Source organism: Homo sapiens, chromosome 17 (assembly GCF_000001405.40).
Source record: "Homo sapiens chromosome 17, GRCh38.p14 Primary Assembly".
Classification (NCBI taxonomy): Eukaryota; Metazoa; Chordata; class Mammalia; order Primates; family Hominidae; genus Homo; species Homo sapiens.
The window spans coordinates 1,826,437-1,842,881 of record NC_000017.11 but is presented as its reverse complement, the minus strand read 5'-3'; the positions used below and the strand labels follow the sequence as shown (position 1 = coordinate 1,842,881).

At 46.0% G+C, this 16,445-nt stretch overlaps 2 protein-coding genes across 8 annotated transcripts in view, besides 2 other annotated features; one reads left to right on the top strand and one right to left on the bottom strand.

Annotated features, from left to right (window-relative positions):
- Positions 1–12,877, bottom strand: part of RPA1 (replication protein A1) — a 70,078-nt gene extending 57,201 nt beyond the window's left edge. For 2 of the 3 annotated variants that reach the window (NM_002945.5, NM_001355121.2), the window contains exons 1-2: positions 12,756–12,877; positions 29–79 (exon numbers count right to left, since the gene is read on the bottom strand). In NM_002945.5, coding sequence (NP_002936.1) covers positions 29–79; positions 12,756–12,788 — 84 coding nt within the window. In that variant the 5' untranslated portion in view covers positions 12,789–12,877. Of the gene's footprint in view, positions 1–28; positions 80–12,747 lie in introns of all 3 variants that reach the window. The other variant, NM_001355120.2, reaches the window with a different exon arrangement.
- Positions 11,481–11,981: an enhancer, noted in NCBI's record as "H3K4me1 hESC enhancer chr17:1734195-1734695 (GRCh37/hg19 assembly coordinates)". NCBI's record gives its function as "activates a minimal SCP1, AML or CMV promoter by ChIP-STARR-seq in naive H9 embryonic stem cells {active_cell/tissue: H9 hESC(naive)}" and the evidence as "EXISTENCE:reporter gene assay evidence [ECO:0000049][PMID:30033119]".
- Positions 12,609–13,128: a silencer, noted in NCBI's record as "silent region_7964". NCBI's record gives its function as "represses an Ori minimal core promoter by ATAC-STARR-seq in GM12878 lymphoblastoid cells {active_cell/tissue: GM12878}" and the evidence as "EXISTENCE:reporter gene assay evidence [ECO:0000049][PMID:35858748]".
- SMYD4 (SET and MYND domain containing 4) overlaps positions 12,980–16,445 on the top strand; it is a 50,418-nt gene continuing 46,952 nt past the window's right edge. For 4 of the 5 annotated variants that reach the window (NM_052928.3, XM_047435290.1, XM_011523633.3 and 1 more), the window contains exons 1-2: positions 12,980–13,156; positions 14,876–15,021. In NM_052928.3, the coding sequence (NP_443160.2) occupies positions 14,888–15,021 (134 nt within the window). In that variant the 5' untranslated portion in view covers positions 12,980–13,156; positions 14,876–14,887. Of the gene's footprint in view, positions 13,534–14,875; positions 15,022–16,445 lie in introns of all 5 variants that reach the window. The other variant, XM_024450560.2, reaches the window with a different exon arrangement.

Here is a 16,445-nt window from a genome sequence, read left to right as displayed (position 1 = left end):
ATGGAACATAACATACGCAGGTACTTACGATGACTTGGAGGATGGGCTTTATGTTTGTATCCCCCTTCTGCATGATGGCCTGAGGGAGTAAAAACAGGTTTGTGTGAGATACGCACTCAAATCATGATGAAAATGACATGTTTTTATAGTTGGTATTTGGAATATATAGATAAGATTGTTAAAAGAGCCTATTCAGAGCCTGTCAGCTGAAGCATCTAGTTTATCACTCTGGACAAATCATAAAATGATAAGAGGGAGATACGTGTTTTACAAGGAAACACTTAGCACATCTCTAGCACCGGTATCCCATATGTACTCGTTATTCTTAACAGCCATTCATTTCCCTCTAGTGCTCATTAACAGGGAATTAGATAAATAAATCCTATATACATTAAAGAGATAATAAGGGAGTATTAGGAACAACTTTATTAAACAACCAAGATAAAGTGGATAAATCCCTCAAAAAATACAAATTATCAAAACTGATACAAAAGAAAATCTATATAGCTCTATGTCTATTAAAGAAATTGAATTTATAATTCTAAATATTCCAAAAGAGAACCCTCTAGGTCCAGATGGCTTTATTGGTGAATCCTATCTAACATTTAAGAACAAACAAACAAAAAAACTTGCATAAATTATTTCAGAAAATAGAAAAGACAATACTTTCTTTCCAAGTCATTTTATGATGTTAGGTTTACTACGACAGAAAAAAAAACAAAGACCACCCCATGCAGAGGTTCATGCCTATAATCCTAGCACTTTGGGAGGCCGAGGTGGGAGGACTGCTTTGAGCCCAAGAGTTCAAGACCAGCCTAAGCAACATAGCGAGACTCTGTTTAAAAAAAAGAATCTTCAACAAAATAATAGCAAATCAAATCCAGCACTATATAAAATGGATAATATGTCATGACATATTATCCAAGTGTGATTTATCCAAGGAAGGCAAGGTTTACTCAACATCTGAAAAATCAATGTAATTTGTCACATTCAAAGAATAGAGAAAAATCATCATCAACTGAATAGATACGGAAAAGGCAACACTTACTCATTATAAAGTCTCAGCAAACTAGGCATAGAAGTAATGCTTAAACTGATAGCTGACGTCTACAAAAAAAATCTACGGTTACCATCACACTTAACAGTAAAAGACAATAATATGCTACTAAGATTGGGAATAAGGCAAGGATATACCTCTTAACACCTTTATTCAATGTGGTATTAGAGGTTCTAACTAATGCAATAGGGCAAGGGAAAAAAAGTCATAAAGATTAAAAAGGAACTGGCTGGGCAAGGTGGCTTGTAATCCCAGCACTTCGGGAGGCTGTGGCGGGCAAATCACTTGAGCTCAGGAGTTTGAGACCAGCCTGGCCAACATGGTGAAACCCTGTTTCCATCAAAAATTTAAAAATTAGCTGGGCGTGGTGGCGCATGCCTGTAATCCCAGCTGCTGGGGAGGCTGAGACAGGAGAATCGCTTGAACCCAGGAGGCGGAGGTTGCAGGGAGCTGAGATCGCACCACTGCACTCCAGCCTGGGCGACAGAGTGAGGCTCCCTCTCAAAATAAAAAATAAAAAGATTAAAAAGGAACAGATAAAACTTCCTTTATTTGTAGACAATATGATCGTTTACATAGAAAATCCTAAGGTATCTATAAAAACTAGTAAGTTGATTTAGCAAGTTTGCAGGACACAAGGCTGGTGTGGAATAATCACTTGTATTTCAATATACTAGCAATAAACAACTGAAGAATGAAATTTTCAAAAATGCCACTTAAACACCATCAAAAGAACTTTCTTTATTTTATTTTATTTTTTTTGAGACGGAGTTTCGCTCTGTCGTGCTAGAGCGTGGTGGTGCAATCTCAGCTCACTGCAACCTCTAATGCCCGGGTTCAAGCAATTCTCCTGCTGCAGCCTCCCGCGTAGCTGGGGTTACAGGCATGCACCACCACACCTGGCTAATTTTTGTATTTTTAGTAGAGACAGGGTTTCACTACGTTGGCCAGGCTGGTCTCAAACTCCTGACCTCTGGTGATCTGCCCGCCTCAGCCTCCCAAAAAGTGCTGGGATTACAGGCGTGAGCCACCGTGCCAGGCTTCAAAAGTAAATTATTTAGGGATATATTTAACAGTATACATATGTAAGAACTGCACACCGAAAACTACCAACAAGGCTGCAAACGGCGGCTCTTGCCTATAATCCCAGCATTTCGGAGACGGAAGCAGGAGGATCGCTTGAGCTCAGGAGTTCGAGACCAGTCGGGGCAACAGAAGGAGACCTGTCTCTATAAAAAATTAGCCAGGTGGTGGCTCACGCCTGTAATCCTAGCACTTTGGGAGGCCAAGGTGGGAGGATCACGAGGTCAGGAGATTGAGACCATCCCGGCTAACACGGTGAAACCCTGTCTCTGCTAAAAATATAAAAAATTAACCGGGCGTGGTGGGACGTGCCTGTAGTCCCAGCTATTTGGGAGGCTGAGGCAGGAGAATTGCTTGAACCTGGGAGGCGGAGGTTGCAGTGAGCTGAGATCGCGCCACTGCACTCCAACCTGGGCAGCACAGAAAGAATCCATCTCAAAAAAAATTAGCCAGGTATGTGGTGCACACCTGTAGTCCCAGCTACTCAGAAAGCTGAGGAAGAATCACTCGAGCCCAGGAGGTCTAGGCTGTAGTGAGCTGTGATTGCACCACTGCACTCCAGCCTGGGTGACAAAGCATGACCCTGTCTCAAAACAAACAAACAAACGTCTGTTTTCATTTTCTTTTTCTTTTTTTTTATTGTACTTTGTTTCTCTATACTTCAGTGTATGCAAAGGGATCAGCACTTTGGGAGGCTGAGACAGGAGGATCGCTTGAGGTCAGGAGTTCGAGACCAACCTGGCCAACATGGTGAAACCCCGTCTCTACAAAAAATACAAAAAGTAGTTGGGTGTGGTGGCACATGCCTATAGTCCCAGCTACTCGAGAGGCTGAGGCAGGAGGATTGTTTGCATCTGGGAAGCAGAGGCTGCAGTAAGGTGAGATGGCACCACTGTACTCTACCTGAGTGATAGTAAAGCCCTGTCTCAAAAAAAAAAAAAAAAAAAAAAAAACTAGCTGGGCGCAGTCGTCCCAGCTACTCAGAGGGTGAGGAGGGAGGATCACTTGAGCCAGGGAGATAAAGCTGCAGTAAACTATGATCATGTATGTCACTGCACTCCAGCTTGGATGACTAAGTGAGATCCTGTCTCAAAAAAAAAAAAAAATGAAGCTAGAGGCCAGGCACGGTGGCTCACGCCTGTACTCCCAGCATTTTGGGAGCCCAAGGCAGGTGGATCACATGAGGTTGGGAGATCAAGACTAGCCCAGCCAGCATAGTGAAACCCCGTCTCTACTAAAAATATAAAAATTGGCTGGGTGTGGTGGCGGGCACCTGTAATCCCAGCTATTCAGGAGGCTGAGGTAGGAGAATCGCTTGAACCCGAGAGGTGGAGGTTGCAGTGAGCCGAGATCTCACCACTGCACTCCAGCCTGGCGACAGAGCTAGACTCCATCTCAAAAAAAATAAAAAATAAAAAATAAAAATGAAGCTGGAGAATTTACAATGCCAGATTTCAAGATTTACTATAAATCTTCAATGTTTATGATGATGTGGTATTGACATAAGCACCAACATAGAAATCAATTGACATTCCAGAAACAGATACACATATACAGTCCATTGATTTTATATAAAGTGACTAAGGGGCCGGGCGCAGTGGCTCACGCCTGTAATCCCAGCACTTTGGGAGGCCGAGGCAGGTGGATCACGACGAGGTCAGGAGATTGGGACCATCCCGGCTAACACGGTGAAATACCGTCTCTACTAAAAATACAAAAAAAAATTAGCCGGGCATGGTGGCGGGTGCCTGTAGTCCCAGCTACTCGGGAGGCTGAGGCAGGAGAATGCTGTGAATCCGGGAGGTGGAGCTTGCAGTGAGCCGAGATCGTGCCACTGCACTCCAGCCTGGGTGACAGAGCGAGGCTCCATCTCAAAAATAAAAAATTAAAAAAATAAATAAATAAAGTGACTAAGTAACTCAATGAAATGGGATAGTGTTTTCAATAAACAGGGCTGGAACAACTGAATATCTGTATTTAAAAAAGAGCTATATATCATAGATAAAATAGTAAACTTGAAATGCATTACAGACCACAAGGCAAAGCGAAAACTATAAAACTTCTGGAAGAAAACACAGCATAAAAGATTTGTGACCTTGGGTCGGGTAGGCAAAGATTTCTTTTTTTTTTTTTTTTTTGAGACTGAGTTTCACTCTTGTTGCCCAGGCTGAAGTGCAATGGTGCGATCTTGGCTCACCACAACCTCCACCTCCTGGGTTCAAGTAATTCTCCTGACTCAGCCTCCTGAGTAGCTGAGGTTACAGGCATGCGCCACCACGCCCGGCTAATTTTGTATTTTTAGTAGAGACGGGATTTCTCCATGTTGGTCAGGCTGGTCTCGAACTCCTGACCTCAGGTGTTCTGCCCGGCTTTGCCTCCCAAAGTGCTGGGATTACAGGCGTTAGCCACTGCACCCTGCTGTTTTTATTTTATTTATTTAATTATTTTTTTGAGACGGAGTTTTGCTCTGTTGCCCAGGCTGGAGTGCAGTGGTGCGATCTTGGCTCACTACAAGCTCCGCCTCCCGGGTTCACGCCATTCTCCCGCCTCAGCCTCCCGAGTAGCTGGGACTACAGGTGCCTGCCACCACGCCCAGCTAATTTTGTATTTTTAGTAGAGACGGGATTTCTCCATGTTGGCCAGGTTGGTCTCGAACTCTCGACCTCAGGTGATCCGCCCGCCTCAGCCTCCCAAAGTGCTGGGATTACAGGCATGAGCCACCACATCCAGCCTAGCAAAGATTTCTTAGGACACACAAACACAACTCTGCAAAAAACAAAACAAAAACAAACAAAAAAACACAACCTGATAACTTGGACTTCATGAAAATTTAAAAGTGCACTTCAAAAAAAACAAAATTTCAAAAAAGAAAAGGCAAGTCACAGATTGGGAAAAAATATATGTAATATTTATATTTAACAAAAGACCTAGCAAGAATCAAGAATTCTCACAACTCATTAATAAGCACAAAACCCAATTTTTAGGTGAACAAAAGATGTGAACAGACACTTCTTTCGTGAAGATATACAAATGGCCAGTAAGCCCACGAAAAGATGCTCAACGTCACTAGCCACCAGAGAAATACAAATAAAAGCACAGTGAGATACCATTACACATTCACTAGAATACTCGAAATCAAAGACTGATGACTGGCAAGGATATGGAGCAACTAGAATTCTCATGATCACACTGGAAAAGGTTGGCGATTTCTTTTACACATTCAGTTACCTGTGACCCAGCAATTACATTCCTAGATATTTATCCCAGAGAAACGAAAACATATTTCCACAAAAAGAGTTGTACTTAAATGGTCATAGCATCTTCATTTATAATAGCCAAAAGATGAAAATAACCCAAATGTGCAATAATAAGTAAATAAACAAATTTTGTTATAGTCATACAATGGAATACTACTGAGCCATAAAAAGGTGCAGATTACTGAATTAACATGGGTAAATCTCAAAAACCATTTTGGTCCACAGTGGTGGCTTGTGCCTGTAACCCCAACACTTTGGGAGGCCAAGGTGGGAGGATCACTTGAGCCCAGGAGTTCAAGATCATCCTGGACAACACACCAAGACTCCATCGCTACAAAAAATATTTTTAGGCCGGGCGTGGTGGCTCACACCTGTAATCCCAGCACTTTGGGAGGCTGAGGCGGGTGGATCACGAGGTCAAGAGATCGAGACCATCCTGACCACCGTGGTGAAGCCCCGTCTCTACTAAAAATACAAAAATTAGCTGGGGATGGTGGCATGCGGCTGTAATCCCAGCTACTCGGGAGGCTGAGGGAAGAGAATCGCTTCAACCCAGGAGGCAGAGGTTGCAGTGAGCTGAGATTGCGCCACTGCACTCCAGTCTGGCAACAGAGCAAGACTGTGTCTCAAAAAAAAAAAAAAAAATTTTTTTTTAATTAGCCAAGAGTGGTGGCATGCACTTGTAGTCCCAGCTACTCAGGAGGCTGAGGTGCGAGGATCTCTTGAGTTCAGGAGGTCAAGGCTGGAGTGAGCCATGACTGTGTCGCTGCACTCCAGCCTGGGTGACAGAGACCCTACCTCTGGGGAAAAAAAAAAAACTGCTGAAAGAAGCCAGACACAAAAGGATAGATATTATTTGATTCCATTTATATGAAGTCTTAGGAAAGGCAAAACTAACCTACAAAGGTAGAAACCAGAACACTGGTTGCCTAGGGTGAGGATGGAGGTGGGGAAGGAGCAAGAGGAGTTGTGCGTTGATGGAAGTATTCTATATCTCCACAGGGGCAATGTGGTTACAGGGGTGCGCACATTTGTCAAAGTTCATCAAGCTGTACATTTAAAATACGTGCAATTTGGCCGGGCATGGTGGCTTATGCCTGTAATCCCAGCACTTTGGAAGGCCAAGGCAGGAGGAGCATCTGAGGTCAGGAGTTCGAGACCAGCCTGGCCAACATAGTGAAACCCCATCACTATTAAAAATACAAAAATTAGCCAGGTGGTGGCGTGCACCTGTAACCCCAATTACTAAGGAGACTGAGGCATGAGAACTGCTTGAACCTGGGAGGCAGAGGTTGCAGTGAGCTGAGATCACGCCACTGCACTCCAGGGTGACAGGAGGAAACTCTGCCTCAAATAAATAAATAAATAAATAAAAAAGGTGCAATTTACTATACGTAAGCAAAATGTCAATGACAGTGATTTTTCTAAAAAGCAGTTATTCTGGGGAACAGTACTGGACAAGGTAAGGCAGGAGGTCAGTAATTACATTAAACACCTCTTTCTTTCTTCTTTCTAAATGAAATAGAGACAGGATCTTGCTATGTTGCCCAGCCTGGTATCAAACTCTTTCTTGGCCTCAAGGGATCCTCCTGCATTAGCCTCCCCAAGTGCTGAGAGTACACATGTGAGCCACCATGCCCGGCCATGAACACCTTTCTGTTCCGTTTGATTTTAAAACCACGTGCATGTATGAGGGGGATTCAAAAAGTACACGAAAAATGTGCATTATGAAAAAACTATGCATGCATTTCAAAAATTTTTTTTGCACTAAAATAAACTCATACTAACTTGTTATAACATGTCTGAACAAGACCTAGTTTGAGGTACTAAGAAGGATAAGACATCAGTTTGAAAAGAGCCCCTATCAGAGCAACATGAATTCTGCTAAAATGGAAACAACAACAAACAACAAATTCAAGGGGAAGGTTGGGTGGAAGAAGGATGAGATCACTTATGAAAGAAAAGTATATGGGGACGATGCTCCAAAGAAATCAGCTGTTTACAAATGTAACTCATTTTAAGGGACAAGGCCAGGCACAGTGGCTCATGCCTATAATCCCAAAGACTTGGGAGGCAAGGCAGGAGAACTGTTTGGAGACCAAGAGTTAGAGACCAGCTTAGGCAAGATGGCGAAACCCCATCTCTACACAAAATTAAAAAAAAAAAAAATTAGCTGGGCATGGTGGCATGCACCTGTACTCCCAGCTACTGGAGAGGTTGAGGTGGAAGGATCACTTGAGCCCAGGAGTTGGAGGTTGCAGTGAGCTATGATCATGCCACTGCACTCCAGCCTGAGAGACAAAGAACAAGACTCTGTCATTTAAAAAAAATTACGGCCAGGTGCAATGGCTCAAGTCTGTAATCCCAGGACTTGGGGAAGCCGAGGCGGCAGATCACTTGAGGCCAGGGGTTCAAGACCAGCCTGGACAACATGACGAAACCTCATCTCTACTAAAAATACAAAAATTAGCTGGGCGTGGTGGCGCACGTCTGTAATCGAGAGACAGAGGCAAAAGAATCACTTGAACCTGGGAGGTGAAGGTTGCAGTGAGCTGAGATTGTGCTTCTGCACCCCAGCCTGGGCAACAGAGTGAGACCCTTTAAAAAAAAAATCCCTAGTAAGTATATAAAGCAACAAATGTAATACTCAAGGGCACATGTGTTCAAATCTTCACCCCATGGACACATTATTCAACCTCTCTGTACTTCCTTCCTCTGTAAAATGGGAGTATAATAGCTATCTTCTAGGGTTACTTAAGTACTGACTACTAAAGCATCTGTCACATTAGAAATAGTCAAAAACATTAGTTCCCTTCCCCTTTCGTTATATAATTAAGATACAAATGCTATGTATTCTGTTGACCACAAGAGTTCTATGCATCATCTCTTATTTTATCATGTGACTCTTGCCCAAACGCCTTCACATGTGTGTGGTATTTGCGTACCCTTTGTGGCCTGTGTCTTTTGAACGAAAATGATACCTGCTTTAGCTGATAATGAAAGTCAGCAAAGGTTCTCCAACTCATTCCATCACCACAAACACATGTGAAACTTTCATTCTTCATTTATGAACAAAATACTTCACCTACGCTGGAAATAGGTTTATAAAATTTTGAATATAAAAACATGGCCAGGTGCAGTGGCTCACATCTATAATCACAGCACTTTGGGAAGCTGAGGCGAGAGGATCGCTTAAGCCCAGGAGTTTGAGACTAGCATGGGCAACAGAGTGAGACCCCATCTCTAAAAAATAAAAAAACTTATCAAATTATTTAAATATCTCCATGATCATTCTTTATTTTTTTTTGAGACAGTCTCACTCTGTCGCCCAGTCTGGAATGCACTGGTGCAATCTCGGCTCACTGCAACCTCTGCCTCACGGGTTCAAGCAATTATCCTGCCTCAGGCTCTCAAGCAGCAGGGATTACAGGCACACGCCAACACACCCAGCTAATTTTGTATTTTTAGTAGACCAGGGTTTCCCCATGTTGGCCAGGCTGATCTCGAACTCCTGACCTCAAGTGATCCACCTGCCTTGGCCTCCTAAAGTGCTTAGATTACAGGCATGAGCCACTGCGCCTGGCCCATGATCAGTCTTTTTAAAAGTGAAGAACCATTCTTTTCTTTTTTTCTTTTGAGATGGAGTTTTGCTCTTGTTGCTGGAGTGCAATGGTGCGATCTTGGCTTACCGGAACCTCTATCTCCCGGGTTCAAGAGATTCTCCTGCCTCAGCCTCCCAAGTAGCTGGGATTCCAGGCATGCGCCCCCACACCTGGCTAATTTTGTATTTCTAATAGAGACAGAGTTTCTCCATGTTGGCCAAGCTGGTCTCAAACTCCCAATCTCAGGTGATCTGCCTGCCTTGGCTTCCCAAAATGCTGGGATTACAGGCGTGAGCCACTGCGCCTGGCCTAGAAACATTCTTAATTTGTCTTAAAGACACAAGGTAGCAGCTATAAAGTAAATGAAAGCTACAATTTAAAATCACTTCCCCGGTTTCAGCATTCACACATTCCTAATTTATTTAAATATTCACTTGAGTCCAACAATAGTTCTTCCTGTTCCTGTTTTTCCCCCAAGCTGCCTTTCTTCCCCATTCACCTGTCCCTTTCTTCCCACTGCCTCATTCATTCATGCAACTAGCAAGCATTTATTCAGCACCTAAAACTTGCCAGCACTTCTCCAGGTATTGGGGATACAATGCAGAGTAAAATAACCCAGACATGATTGCAGGCCTCATGGAATTTACACAAAGTATTAGGCCAGGCACAGTGGCTCAAGCCTGTGATCCCAGCATACTGGGAGGCCAAGGTGGGTGGATCTCGAGGCCAGGAGTTCAAGACCAGCCTGGCCTACATGGCGAAACCCTGTCTCTACTAAAAATACAAAAATTAGCAGGGTGTGGTGGTGGGCACCTGTAATCCCAGCTTCTAGGGAGGCTAAGACAGGAGAATCGCTTGAACCCGGGAGGCAGAGGTTGCAGTGAGCCGAGAATGTGCCACTGCACTCCAGCATGGGCAACAGAGCAAGACTCTGTCTCAAAACAAACAAACAAACAAACACAATAATTTTAAAATTTTAAAAAGAAACTGATAAATCAACAAACATAAAACTGCAATTATTAATAGGTAACATAAACACTGAGCATTTACTATGTATCAGTGTGCTAAGCACTTTAAATTTAATAACTCACTCCATCCTCCTACTTACCTTATGCAATAGATATCATTGCTCTCATTTTACAGAAAAGAAACAGTTTAGTATCTTGCCTCAAGTCATGCATCTAATAAGTGAATGGGGTCGTGCGCGGTGGCTCACGCCTGTAATCCCAGCACTCTGGGAGGCCGAAGCAGGTGGATTGCTTGAGGTCAGGAGTTCGAGACCAGCCTGGCCAACATGGTGAAACCCCATCTCTACTAAAAATACAAAAATTAGCCGGGCATCATGGCAGTCTCCTGTATTCTCAGCTACCTGGGAGGCTGAGGGAGGAGAATTGCTTGAACCCAGGAGGCGGAGGTTGCAGTGAGTCAAGATCGTGCCACTGCACTCCAGCCTGGGCAACAGAGCAAGACTCCATCTCAAAAAGAAAAAAAATAAATAATTCAATAAGTGAATGAACAGGAATTGGGGTCTCAAAGGGATTTAGCCTAGTAAGGGAAGTCACAAATGAGCTGAGATACGAAGATAGTGTTTGCCAGTGTGGGGAAGAGTGAAGAACCACCCAGGCAGTGGGCAGAGGGAAAAAAATGTTCAGGGCCGGGTGCGGTGGCTCACTTCTGTAATCCCAGCACTTTGGGAGGCCGAGGAGGGTGGATCACCTAAGGTTGGGAGTTCAAGACCAGCCTGGGCAACATGGTGAAACCCCCGTGTCTACTAAAAATACAAAAAATTACGCAGGTGTGGTGGTACATGCCTGTAATCCCAGCTACTCTGGAGGCAGAGGCACGAGAACTGCCTGAACCCAGAAGGCAGAGGTTGCAGTGAGCCGAGATTGCGCCACCGCACTCCAGCCTGGGGCGGTAGTGGGGGGGTATGGGGAGAAAGAGTGAGACTCTGCCTCAAAAAAAAAAAAAAAAAAAAAAAAAAGGCCGGGCACAGTGGCTCACGCCTGTAACCCCAACACTTTGGGAGGCCGAGGCGGGCGAATCACAAGGTCAGGAGATCGAGACCATCCTGGCTAACACGGTGAAACCCCGTCTCTACTAAAAAATACAAAAAATTAGCCGGGCGTGGTGGCGGGTACCTGTAGTCCCAGCTATTCGGGAGGCTGAGACAGGAGAATGGCGTGAACCCAGGAGGCAGAGCTTGCAGTGAGCCGAGATCGCGCCACTGCCCTCCAGCCTGGGCAACAGAGCAAGATTCCAGCTCAAAAAAAAAAAAAAAAGTTCAAAGGCCCCATGGAAGAAGGTAGGAGTATGGAATATACCAGAAATCTAAATTTAAAAAAAAATGTGGGGGTGACTGGAGAGGTAGGCTGAGAGTATGCTGTGGATGGGAATGGTGGCAGGAACGTATGCTGAGTGGAAGTCAGCAGCTCAGGCAAAAAAAAAGACGGTGCCAGTATGGATGGAGAGAAGCCAGTGGGCTTGATAGATCTACGCAGAGGCAAAATACACTTCACTTCGTGAGGGACTGGATGCCCAGGTAATGGACAATATAGGAGGAATGATTTCTCAATTTCTGGTTAGCACTGAACTGAATAGATAATGGTGCCATCCGTGGAGATAGGGATCAAGAGGCCCAGACTTAGAAAGATAAAGAATTTGCTTTGGGATACGTATACTGAACTTAAAACCCTCTGAAGCATGGAATAAGCAGACAGATGACGGAAGTTTGTCTTTTAGAGTAAAGGTGGCTCTGTACAAAGAAATTTGTGAGCAACTGACATATATTAATAGATGGCAATGGAATTGCCTTGGGGCCAGGCGCGGTGGTTCATGCCTGTAATTCCAGCATTTTGGGAGGCCGAGGCGGGCGGATAACTTGAGGTCTGGTGTTCGAGATCAGCCTGGCCAACATGATGAAACCCAGTCTCTAATAAAAACACAAAAAGTAGCCGAGTGTGGTGGCGCACACATGTAGTCCCAGCTACTCGGGAGGCTGAGACAGGAGACTCACTTGCACCCGGGAGACGGAGGTTGCAGTGAGCCGAGATCGCGCCTCTGCACTCCAGCCTGGGCGACAGTGAGTGTCGCCCAGGCTGGAGAAAAAAAAAGAAATTGCCTCGGGAGTCAAGAGGGCCTAGAGGGAGCCTTGATTCAACAAAAATTTACAAAGAGGGACTTACAAATAAGACGGGGATAGACCTGCCAAGCTGAGCCACTAAAAACCAAGGAAGAGGGTGTGACCTGAAGCAAGCAGGGCTTAAACGCAAACGCTGCTGAGAACTCAGGTAAGCTGAAAACGGAAAAGGGCTGGATTTAGCAACTTGGAGGCCACTGGTACCTTCAGCCAGGGTTTTCTACAGCGATCAAAGGGATGACTGGAGTGGGTTAAAGAGTTGATGAAAGGCGAGGAAAGGAAGTGGCTGAAACCAGACAAGAAGTTTGGCTGTGGGTGGGGAAAGGAGAAGAGACAGAAAGTGTCCGCAGGTGGAAGATGCAGAGAAAGGCAAGCGTTTATTTAGTTTGTTCTTACGTAGGAAAAATGTGAGCATGTTTTAAAGACGATCGAAAGAATGCTTTGAGGAGGGGGCGATGACACTAGAGGGACGCCCGGCGGGTCCCCACCGCCCCCCGCCATCTCCTCCCCTCGCGTTCATCCCCCGTCGCCCCGGGCTCCCCTCCCCCTCTCTACTCCGCGAGGCTCGGGGCCGCAGCCACCCCGGACCGCCGGCCCAGCCCCCGGCACCTCCTCACCGCAATGGCCCCCTCGCTCAGTTGGCCGACCATGGCTCCACCGCCAAGACTTCCCCGCGGACCCCGCAACAGCTCCAGCTTCCCCACCCGGGTCCCGCGCGCTGCGCAGTTATTGGCCCGAGAAGTTGCGCGCACCGCTCCCGCCCCCGACGTGCGCGCGGCTCAGGGGCGGGCCCGGGCGCTACGCAGCCGCCGCATTGGCCGAGGCGCGGCCCACGTGACCCACCCATGGTCCCAAGCGAGGCCTGGCGCGGGACGCCGGACGCGGTGCGGGGCGGAGCGGGGCGCCAAGGGGCGCGCCAGGAGCTGCGCGGGCGCTGGGAGGGAGACCAGGGCGCAGTTCCGGGCGCGTCTGAGCGGTTCTCGAGGCGTTCTCGCCTCGGTCTCTGGCGAGTGCACGGGTTGGTATCCCAGAGGAGGTTAAAGCTGTTCCTTGAGACCTCCGCTGCTAAATAGAGTCGCAGTAGTGACCCGATTCGTCCAGCAACGCGGGGCTGACTTCCCGCCTCCAAGCCCTGAGCTTGGCACCGTGGCGGTGGGGGGTGGGGGTGGGGGGTCTCCGAAAGGGAATCAGACCCGGCCCCCGTCCTTAGAGAAGAGGACAGTGTGTGGGGGCACTTTATGCCGTCAGTAACCCCACCTCCAGGTAGACGTGGTACAGGCCCCAAGGGTGTTGGAATCACAGCTGGGAAATCAGGGACGCCGTCCCGGAGGAGGTGCCATTTGAGCCGAGTCGAAGAACGTGTGGGAATTTTCCAGGTGGACTCCATAAGCCAGGGTAGGGTTGGTCCGGAAAGCATGAGTAGCCTATGCCAAAACATTGGAGAGTTGAAATAGCCTGGCAAGCCGGGGATAGCAATGAGTTGTTCAGTATGCAAGGGTGCATGCAGAGGAGTAAGTGACACCTGAGAATTAGAAAGTCAGACAAGGGTCAAGTAAGGATGGTTTTGTCCTGGGCTTCCTGGTATGCTTGGAGTAGCGTTGATGAATTTAAGGGCAGAGCACTGACTTCTGTCTCAGTGTTGGAGGCTGGATTGAAAGTGGGGAGTGGTGCCAATGGCATGGACATTAATTATAACACTCTAGGAAGAATGCCAGACGAGATGGTGAGGACTTAATCAGAACGCTGAACTATGTAAGAGAGGGAAATACCTTGTTAAATGAATAGTTGCTGGGGTGGGTGAGAAAGAAAAATCTGGGATGTGTCTCAGAGAAACTAGAGAGGGATCAGGCCGGGCGCGGTGGCTCACGCCTGTAATCCCAGCGCTTTGGGAGGCCAAGGCTGGCGGATCATCTGAGGTCAGGAGTTCGAGACCAGCCTGGCCAACATGGTGAAACCCCGTCTCTACTAAAAATACAAAAATTAGCCGGGCGTAGTTGCGCGCATCTGTAATCCCAGCTACTCGGAGGCTGAGGCAGGAGAATTGCTTGAACCTGGGAGGCGGAGGGTGCAGTGAGCCGAGATGGTGCCACTGCACTCCAGCCTGGGTGACAGAGCAAGACTCTGCCTCACAAAAAAAAAAAAAAGAGGATCTAAGAGCACAGATGGTAGCTATCTAGTCTGCTTCGTCTTTGTATAACCATCACCTGCATGGTGCCTGTGACAAAGTAGTCTTTCAGTAAATATTTCTGAATGGAAGGATGTTGAGTGAATTGCTGTGAGAAAATATAGATCCTTCCTTAGCATATAAACTAGAGGAAAAGACCACAAGAATTGATTTTATTGTTTCAGGCTTCCTTGAATGAAATCTTGATTTTCCTTTTTTTTTTTTTTCCGAGACAGAGTCTTGCTCTGTCACCCAGGCTGGAGTGCAATGGCGTGATCTCAGCTCACTGCAACCTCCGCCTCCCCAGTTCACGCAGTTCTCTTGCCTCAGCCTCCCGAGTAGCTGGGACTACAAGTGTGCGCCACCACACCTGGCTAATTTTTTTGTAGTTTTAGTAGAGACGGGGTTTCACTGTGTTAGCCAGGATGGTCTCCATCTCCTGACCTCGTGATCCACCTACCTCGGCTTCCCAAAGTGCTGGGATTACAGGTGTGAGCCACCGTACCTGGCTGAACTCTTGATTTTCTAAAATTGTGCATTTGTAAGATTCCTATTTTCTTACTCATTTTATAGATCAAAAGCAGCATGGATCTGCCTGTGGATGAATGGAAATCATATCTGCTTCAAAAGTGGGCTTCACTCCCGACGTCTGTTCAGGTCACAATTTCTACAGCAGAGACCTTGAGGGATATCTTTCTTCACTCCTCTTCACTTCTTCAGTAAGTAAATCAAGCTTTAACAAGGGAATTGTGAGCCAAAAAATGTTCTATTTTGTCATTTGCTCTGAAGTAATGTGTCTTTTTCTTAAATAAAGATTGAGTCTTGCTTGTTTCCCAGGCTGGTCTCAAATTTCTGGGCTCAAGCAATCCTCCCACCTTGGCCTCCCAAGGTGCTGGGAGTACAGGCGTGAGCCACCATGTCTGGCCTGGTAACATCTCTTTTTGATGGAAAATGCCTGAAGTACTTTTCCTGGTTCGTTTCTATCCCAGCGTGTCCTGTGAACTAATTCACTTCTGTCATCCTGCAGGATTAGCCAGATCTTTCCTCAGGAAAGCTCTCCCTGAGCCTCAGCTGGGCCATCTTCACTCTTTGTACATTTACAATGCTGTGTGATTTTCCTTTATATATGTGTGTGCTCTTTTGACTAATGCCTGCCTTTGCCGCTAGATTGTGAACTTCATGAGGGAAGGGACCGTGTTTGTATTTGTTTTTCTTTTTTTTTTTTTCTTTTTTTCTTTTTCTTGAGACTGTCTCGCTCTGTCACCCAGGCTAGAGTGCAGTGGCGCAATCTCAGCCCACTGCCTCCGCCTCCCGGGTTCAGGCAATTCTCGTATCTCAGCTTCCCGAGTATTTGGGATTACAGTCGCACACCACCATGCTCGGCTAATTTATTTATTTATTTATTTTTATTTTATTTTATTTTTTTTGACACAGGGTCTCACTCTGTCACCCAGTCTGGAGTGCAGTGGCACAATCTCAGCTCACTGCAATCTCCACCTCCTGGGTTCAAGCGATTCTCATGCCTCAGCGTCCCAAATAGCTAGGATTACAGGCGTACACCATCATGCCCAGCTCACATTTTTGTATTTTTAGTAGAGACAGGGTTTCACCATGTTGGCCAGGCTGGTCTTGAACTCCTGCCCTCAAATGATCCGCCCGCCTCAGCCTCCCAAAGTGCTGGGATTACAGGCATGAGCCACTGTGCCCGGCCTGTTTGTCTTTCTATAGACAAAAATAGTGCAGTGTCAAAAAATAAGTGGTTAGTAAACATTAATTGAATGACAACTTGGTAATGTATATAAAGTTCTTAGTTTAGTTACTGGCTGTTATTAGTGCTTAAAATGACGTATAAAGCAGAACCTTATATATTTGCAGATCCAGAAACACACACCTTTCACGTTCAAGGTTGATGTCTTTATCTTTGTGCCAGGCACATAGTAGGCGCTCGTATATTAATTGAATGAAATAATGAGTTCAGTTTTGAGCCTTGCCAGTTCAGATACTCGGTACAGTTAGGGTTATACTTTTTTTGTTAGTCTTCATTTCTTTTCTTTTCTTTTCTTTTTTTTTTTTTTTTTTTTTTTTTTTGGACAGAGTTTTGCTCTTGTTGCCCAGGCTGGAGTGCAGTGGCACAGTCTTGGCT